Source organism: Homo sapiens, chromosome 9, assembly GCF_000001405.40.
Source record: "Homo sapiens chromosome 9, GRCh38.p14 Primary Assembly".
Lineage (NCBI taxonomy): Eukaryota > Metazoa > Chordata > Mammalia > Primates > Hominidae > Homo > Homo sapiens.
Window position 1 is genome coordinate 100,898,600 of NC_000009.12, and position 8,555 is coordinate 100,907,154.

Below are 8,555 nucleotides of genomic sequence, written 5' to 3' on the forward strand. Positions count from 1 at the left end.
GTTTGAGTAAATAATAATTTAATTTCTATTTTCAGTTAAACAAAATAGACAAGAGCATCTACCATTGCTTGTTCATTGACAGTTTGTCTGCTCCCTGAATAATTATTGCATCTCAGTTGATTGTTTCTATATCTAAATTTGGAGTGTCTCAAAATGAATTTCTTTAACCTTGGGTAAATATTGAAGCAATCAGTAGAAAATGCGGATCCACTTTTACCTGTATAATCAATTAACCTTGAACAATGTCTGACTGACTTCCCCTTTCCTAAAAATATTCTTCACCCACAGAACAAAATCCAAACCCTTCAAACGTGTACACAAAGGTCTTTACAAGTTAATCTCTGCTTTTTCTGCCTATCTTCCTTCCATGCTTTCTAGTCACAAAAACCTCGAGTGGCTTCCCAGAGTCCTCCACTGCTTGCATCTTTGTCTTTCTTTGTCGTCACACCACCTGCCTCAGGTCATTCCTTCATTTTCAGACTTGGATGAACATCACTCCCTAGTGTATGATCTGCATTCTTGAGCAGCTGTCAAGGGGCCAGCTGACCCACCACTGGGAGAACCTTGATCGATGAAAAAGTTGACAGACATTTTCTTTCTTCCTCTTCCTTGTAGACTGCTTCCACATGTGGTGCTTCCAGAGTTGTACTTAGCAAACGTGCTTGCTGAGTGGCATGCTCTGTCTCTCTGTTTGTGAGGCTATAGCTGTTGTAATGCATTGTATCACCCTGTATCACATCTTCCACCCCTCCCCCCAACACCCCACTCTATTTTCTGTTACTTTTGTGGTCCTGGGAATATACCTTGCAAATTAAGTGTTAGTGCCTTAAGACTTACTTCAGGTTCTGCTTTCTAGGGGACCTAGGCTAAAACACCATCATTCCTCAACTCACCAATCTTTTGCATTGTTTTTAGATATTCTACTTGGAATGTGCCTCCACTCTCCATTATTAATAAAGATCCAGTTGAATTGCTGATATCTCTGTGCTCTCATGGTACCTGGCACCTCTACTGTTACTAAAGCACACGACATGCTATTTTGTATATATGTAGTGGTGGGCAAACCTCGTCTGACAGGCTGTAACCTCCTTGAAGACAGGAAAATTGTCATTTACTCCTATATTGTTAGCATTTAGAATGGTGCTTGTCCTGATATAGTGCTCTCTAAAATGGTTTAAGGAATGAATAGGACCAAACAGATTTATGTGCTTTCTTTGGTTTATCTTGAGCATAATGGTCTAATGCTAAGGTATTTTATCATTATTTATCACTGGAAATGTGTTATATTATTATCTTTATGTGTGAAATAAAGGGAGCTCCTTTGACCTGGAACCAAGAGGAGAAAGTCATTTGAATGACTGTAATATCAGAACGTCTGACATGATCACTTCTTCTTACTGATATATGTATGACACATGCTTCTACAACACACATTTTAATCTGTCTTTTTTTGGACAAATTGGCAAATGATTGGTACATCTCTAGATGGTGTTACTCTAAAATTATTTGTGATATGTACAGTTTTCTAGAATGACTTACTAATTGTGATTCCACAGCTAACCTGGGGACAACACATAGTCAAATGGGCTTATGTAATGGGTCCAAAGGATAGAAATTTAGGAAGGCCTCAAAGGGGATTGAGGTAGTATTTTGTATTACCTAGATAAGCATTATGAATTTGGAATTATAGCAGCTCTAGGATTAGATATTTAGCCTACCATCTTGAATTTCTCCAATACAGTGTCCCCAAATGATACCTTCTCTTTCTTTACCTTTCCTCAGGTTGATATGTAGGATCTATATAATCTGTGTATTTTCCTGTTGACCCACAGATGGATCAACCTGCTCTAGTAAATGTCTTTATTAACAGATGCTAAAGACAAAATACCAAGAGAGAATGGAAAAATATGGGAGCAAATCTCCTAGGGCAATGGACAAAGAGTGCATTTTCTCTCTTAAATATATTACCTCTATGGTCTCTTCTTCAGTGCCTCTTTCTGCAGCCTTCTGCTTGATCCTCATATTGTCTTGGGAGGATTTAGTTGCAAAATTCATATGTAAGTATTTTTCTTTGGGTTAAGCTAGTACAGAGACATTTATTAATGTCCACAGTGTAAGGTACAGCAAGTGTCAAAAAATGTAATACTTTGCCAGCCAAATATTGTTGACCATTTATACTGATCCTATGACCCCCTCCAAAGGGGGCATAAATGCATAAATGCAGAGAAAAGTGGGTTCTGGTAGTACTTGGGCCATAGTTAGAGAACAAGCTCATGACTGAGAACTGAGAGACAGATACTAACATGCATTGAATGCCTAAGCACTATTCTAAGGTGTTTTATTCATATAATTTTTCAATAACAATACTGTGAACTAGGCATTTTATCTTCATATTACATATGAGGAAATTGATAACCCAGCTGGTTTAAGTAACTTGTCCAGGACTACACAGCCAGGTAGAGGCTGAACAATATGGTTGTCAACAATACCGTGGATATTATACCTTTCTGATGTGGCATGGTGAGGATTTTCCAGGAAGAAGACACTTTGGGTGACTTCTCACCTTTGTTACCATCTGTTTTCGTGCTTGGTGAAATATTATGCATCACACTATTCCAGGCACCACTTCCTGCAAAGGCAGCCATTTCTCAAGTAACTCTTCTGTGTGACTAAGGCTGTTTATAGTGGTAGTTGAGACTGGCAGTTCAATAGTTAATGCCTGGTGGCATAAAGCATCCCACAGAGTGGAACCACTGAGTGAGAATTTCAGCATATTGGACTTTGGCAGACACAGGGTGAAGCAAATGAGCTTCCTGACATAGGCAGGTATCCCATTCCATTTGACATCAATTGAAAAGCTTAAAGAATGTTCTAAACCTTCCCAATCTCTTCTCCTGCAGGGATAATATCACATGATTTCTGAGGAGAACAGAAAGTTTATTTTGTGCACTTTGAAAATTTAAGAACTCAGGTATAAGTTCTTATAATTTGAACAGTTCAACAGAATGTTCAGATAAAAGGTTGTGAAAGCTTTTTCCTTCCTGTTGTCTCTTTCAGTTATAATGGTTGAGAAGCCACTTTAAGTGAAAGACATTTCTTTCCTCTTTTCAAGATAAAGGCTCAAGCCCTAAGAATCTGCCAAAATAAACTATTTCACATAACAATTTATTCAGAAAAGAAGCACATGTGAAAATTTCTTAATTGTTCACAAAGCTCTCCTACTTTCATATGTAAAGGAAGTATGAAAATGTAATAATAGTAAGTTGGAGCCTAATAAATTGTGATTGTTGAGAGAAAAACATAAAAACAGGCTTACTCAAGGTGAGTTCCATTTCTTTTTAATTACACCATTTTATTTGTTATGTCTACTCTCATGTATTCACAAGAAGCCTTGTCATCTTCTGTATGGCTGCCATGTCTTGCTTTCTTTTTAAATCTAAGATGACTGAAATTGAATGCATTCACCTCTTCTGAAAGCCCACTTTCACTCTTGGCCCTGTGATCCCACCAATTTTTAAAGGCATGGTACTATCCTTACCTACTGCAATTCATGGAACCATTTTAAAGTCCCCTTTCTGTTGGTTGCCTCTCCAAATAGTCACCCTTCTCTTAATTGACTTCCTCTCGTCTGCTCCAAACTTCATTCCTTCCCAAGCCTTGCAGTACGAGATTCAAAACTCCAATTTTTATTAACCAATCCCACTGCCTATGGAACTTCATGATCCCTTATTTCTGGCCAGGCAGTTCTGGTCATGGTCCTTCTAAGGCATGATGACATTCCAGAAACTATTCTGCGTATCATTGAATTCAGTCCTCACCATGAGTGCTGGCTGGTTGAGCATTGAACCCAGGCAGGTAATGGGCTTTATTGTGGGAATTTGGCAGGTAATGTAACCACTCCATGTGTTTGTCTCCTTATTTGTAAAATGAGGATAATTCTGGCATCTACCTCATTGGGTTATTGTGAGGATTTAATACAGGCATGTATTAACAGTTTCTAGCCCATAGGGTGTGTTCGGTAGATGTTGGCTGTTGGTATCAAATCATATAGAAGGAGACCCAAGCACAGACAGATTAGGCAATTGCCAAGATGCTGTAAAGTTAGTGAAGTTGCAGTTTGAATCATGTCTGACTTCAGTATCCACTTAAATATAATGCTATGTGGCTTCTCTTCACAGCATTTATACCTGCAGTCTCTTCTCAATTTCTTTACTTCAAGTAACAGCTTAGATCTCTGAACTATTAGTACTGCACTCTCCACCTCCTACCTCTGAGATGCCATGCAAACCATAGAGAGGTAGCAGGTGGCCCCAGTTTGTGCCTCTAGCCACAAGCCAGGAGGCTGTGATAGCCTGCTGCTGACTCCTCCTGGGCTCTGAACACCTTGAGTGAAACACCTGATTTAGGCAGGAGCAGGATACCTGGATTGAGGACCTCAATGAGGTGAGCTGATCAATGCATTCTTTTTACGTCACAAAAGATTTCTAAAGAGGCACAACATGTATATTAGGATGCCAGAGCTGACAGAGAGACCCAGGGTCTACTTAGGGATCACACTCTGGTGAAAGTCAATTTTCAGTGCAGGGATCATGTTCATGGCTTGAAGATTCCTGTTATACTCCTGACAACTTCCAAACAAGTCAACTTCCAAACAAGAAAAAAACTGTTGAGATTCATGATTACTAGCACAGGACTAGGTTAAATAGTTTAGGAAGAGAAAAATGTCTAGAATGCTAGAAGAAAGAAAAGAAAGGATAAAACTAATGTTTATTATGTGAAGATCTTTTCTGTGCCAGGCACTATTTCAGATATTATCATATATTCATTAATTTGGTCCATAAAAATTTAATGAGCATTTTTTATGTTCCAGGATAGCCTCTGATAGGTCCTAAGGCACTGGGACTAATACAGCAGGCATGCTCTTTCCATTTATAGAGCTTAGATTCTTGCACAGGGAAAGATGTAGAGCAAACATTTATATATCCTTTTTTTCAACTTCTGAGAGGAAGGAATGTATTTCCATTTACGAATGTGGAAACTGAGTCCCAGAGAAGTGAGCTATCTTGCTTAATATCACAGGTCCATTAAGAAGCTAGGTTTTATATCCAGTTATTTCTAGACATTAATTTTGATATTCTTCCATTTGTCACAGAATCTCTTCTGCCGTTAACTTTACGGTTAGCTTTGTAGCTAACATTAGATTAAACAATAAATTTGAGAGGCAAGCTAGTGAGATTTTGACATATATTGGATTGTTCTTCAGGAAACTAGCCAGATGCTTTTATTCAGCTTCCTAAAAATTTTCAATATCAGAGTTCTTAATAGTGACTCCTGCTTAAGCATCAGGTATATTAGGCACAATTATTTCTGAGTAGCTCAATAACAATAATTTTTTTCTACCAAATCCCTTAAAAGGTACACATTGATTCAAAATAAAATTAGTTCCAAGTTTAATTGTCTGCCTCTCACCCCCAGGAAGTAGATTCCCACCGAAATGCCTGAAAAGATATAAAAATAAAGAATGCTTTTTATCTACACTAGAAAATAGAGGCCAGGCTTGGTCATTCACACCTGTAATCCCAGCACTTTGGGAGGCTGAGGCGGGCTGATCACCTGAGGTCAGGAGTTCAAGACCAGCCTGGCCAACATGGCAAAACCCCATCTCAACTAAACATACAAAAATTAGCTGGGCATGGTGGCACACACCCATAGTCCCAGCTGCTAGGAGGCTGAGGCACGAGAATCGCTTGAACCAGGAGGCAGAGGTTGCATTGAGCCGAGATTGTGCCTCTGCACTCCAGCCTGGGCAACAGAGCAAGTCTCCATCAAAAAAAAAAAAAAAAAAAAAAGCCACCCTTTTTCAGGCTGGGTGTGGTAGCTCACACCTGTAATCCCAGCATTTTGGAAGGCTGAGGCGGGTGGATCACCTGAGGTCAAGAGTTCGAGACCAGCCTGGCCAACATGGTAAAACCCCGTCTCTACTAAAAATACAAAAATGAGCCGGGCCTGGTGGCATGTGCCTATAATCCTAGCTACTTGGGAGGCTAAGGCAGGAGAATCGCTTGAACCCAGGAGGCGGAGGTTGCAGTGAGCTGAGATTCTGCCACTGCATTCCAGCCTGGACGACAGAGCAAGACTCCATCTCAAAAAAAAAAAAAAAAAAAAAAGGAAGAAGAAAAGAAAATAGGAAAGGATGTATGTTAATTAGAATAGGCTTGAGAAGGCTTCACTAACAACCTCAAATCTTAATCTGTGCATTTGTCACAACGAGGGTTTATTCCTCTCTCCTCTACTCTTTTATGTCTTTGTTAGGATATCAACATTCTAGCAAAATCTTATCTGCAAAACTTTCTGGTCTTCTTCCTCTAATGCCACATTTTTAAATTCTCTGTTTTATTTTTCTTTATAGCTTTTTTAAAACAATAGATCTGATTTGCCATAAATTTATTATTCATTTATTGTTAGTTTCCCTGTTTCATACCACTAGAATGTAACTCTATGAAGGAAGAACTTTTTTCCTTTCATTTTTTGTTGCTATATTTTCATTGCCTAAAACAGGTTATGGGGCATGGTAGGCCCCAGATCAACCAAGATTTCCTGAGTGAATGAATTAATTTAATGATGAGGAAACTGAGGCTAGAGAGCACTATACATCTCATTCTGCCTCATTTTATATTTATCATTATGTTTTTGAGATCTTTCCATGTTGGTATACATAGATCTAGCTAATTCCTTTTAACACAATATTATATAATTTGAATATGTCAATTTTTTTTTCTATTTCACCATAGATGAGCATTTAGGCTGTTTTCAATGTAAGACTTTGGTGTTAAGTGTGGAGTAGAATGTTTTCAGTTGGCTCAGAAATGCAGAAATCGGTTAAGGTCTAAAGCTAAGGGCAAACATGCCTCACGTTCTCTTCATGGGACCATCATCCACAGGTACCATCTGCCTCTCTTCAGGCTTGCCCTCTCCCAACCGGGTATAATAAGGGGCCTGGAAGAGAGAAGGAGGTATCCTCTCGGGGAGTACTGTATTCACACAAGGAAGTTTTCTCCTTACTTACCTTGCGCTCTTTCTCTCTCTCTGTGTGTGTGGGGGGGGGGGGGCGGGGGCGGGGGTGAGGGGAGAGGATAGCACATATCCCCTTCCTGAATCCTAGGAAAAGAGTCCACAAAAAATCATTTATGAAGTGCTGGGGTGCCAAGATTAACTCCCCTATACTACATTTTGAGTCAGGGAAATTCTCTTCTGCAAGTTGCTGATGTCTGAGATGTTGGAGAAAAAGGAAGAGAATAGAGGATAGATCTAAGGGAAGGAGCACCTGGAAAGCTCCCAGAATCTTCTCTACTTGGCATGGCAAGGCCATGCTCTTTTTCTGTCTTTTAGGTGAAGAGTACATTTCTTTGGCACTCTCATTTAAAGGTTTGAGTTGAAATATTGTACATTCTGTGTTGGTCTTTCATCTTTCATCATTTACTTAAAAGTTGTTTTCTTTCTTCTTACTCTAACCATGTTCTTCTAAAGGCCCAAAGTTTCAAGTGAAAGGACCAATATAAACGATTTCATGTGTGGTTGTGGAACTCTTTACTAGGAGGACACAATGTCTTTAAAATATGAAATGAGGAAAACAATGCTGTATTCAGGAGCTCTAGTGGTACAAAAACAATTTTTGATTATTTATAACAAAATAGTCCTACTTGAGGGCTTTAAGTTAGATACCTAGAATAACTTTTAGATACATTAAAAACAGTTTCCAAGCTGCCTTTAAATTTTCCTGAGTATGATTTACTTTTTAATTAAAAATAACACTCAAAATATATTTAAAGTGATTAAAAGTATCAGATCATAATGCAATATGACGACATCATTTATATATAATTAGTTAATAAGGTATTTCCGATTGAATCTCATTATTTACATTGATCGTGCCATTTCTGGATTGTTCATATCTTCTACCAGACTCCCTACATATAAAATGTTTTGTAATTATTATGTTTTCCACAAGTGTTGGGATAGTTAATGCTTGTGAATGTTTCTTAAAAGACGTAAGAGTTTTTATTTAAGTTATAGTGGATGTAAATCATGCACTTAAGTTTCTGAATATTCACCCTGTGATTTCCTCTGACTCTTTTCCAGATCCTCTTATTGCATATTGTACTTGAATGGACTCTCATTGCCAAAGTTTTGATTAAGTAAATGTCGTAACTGGAAATTAAATTATAAGCACTTATCAAATTGCCGTCAAGTGATATTGATCTTTAAATGTAACCTATATATTCAATGCAGCATGTAAGGTGTGGGCTTGCTATCTATGAAATTAGCTGTAGGAATAAATTGGGTACACTACATTCTTCATCATGCTTTTAGTGTCCATTAAACCAATTACTAAAAAGTAGGAGGAGGGTGGATGAAGAAAGCCATTGTGAATGCTGGAGATTTTTAAATGTATAGTGTTACCAATGTGGAGAGGGCACTGCACTCTTCACTTCTTTATAGTTTCTCCTTAGGAATTCTCTTTTTTTTTTTTTTTTGAGACGGAGTCTTGCACTGTC

At 38.3% G+C, this 8,555-nt stretch overlaps 1 long non-coding RNA gene across 1 annotated transcript; it reads left to right on the forward strand.

The window, feature by feature from the left end:
- The first annotated feature begins 2,900 nt into the window (after positions 1 to 2,900).
- On the forward strand, positions 2,901 to 8,224 carry LOC105376181 (uncharacterized). The gene is made up of 4 exons (XR_001746576.2): positions 2,901 to 2,971; positions 3,058 to 3,321; positions 4,179 to 4,443; positions 8,140 to 8,224. It is a non-coding gene; the product is annotated as an uncharacterized LOC105376181 (long non-coding RNA).
- The last annotated feature ends 331 nt before the right edge of the window (positions 8,225 to 8,555 follow it).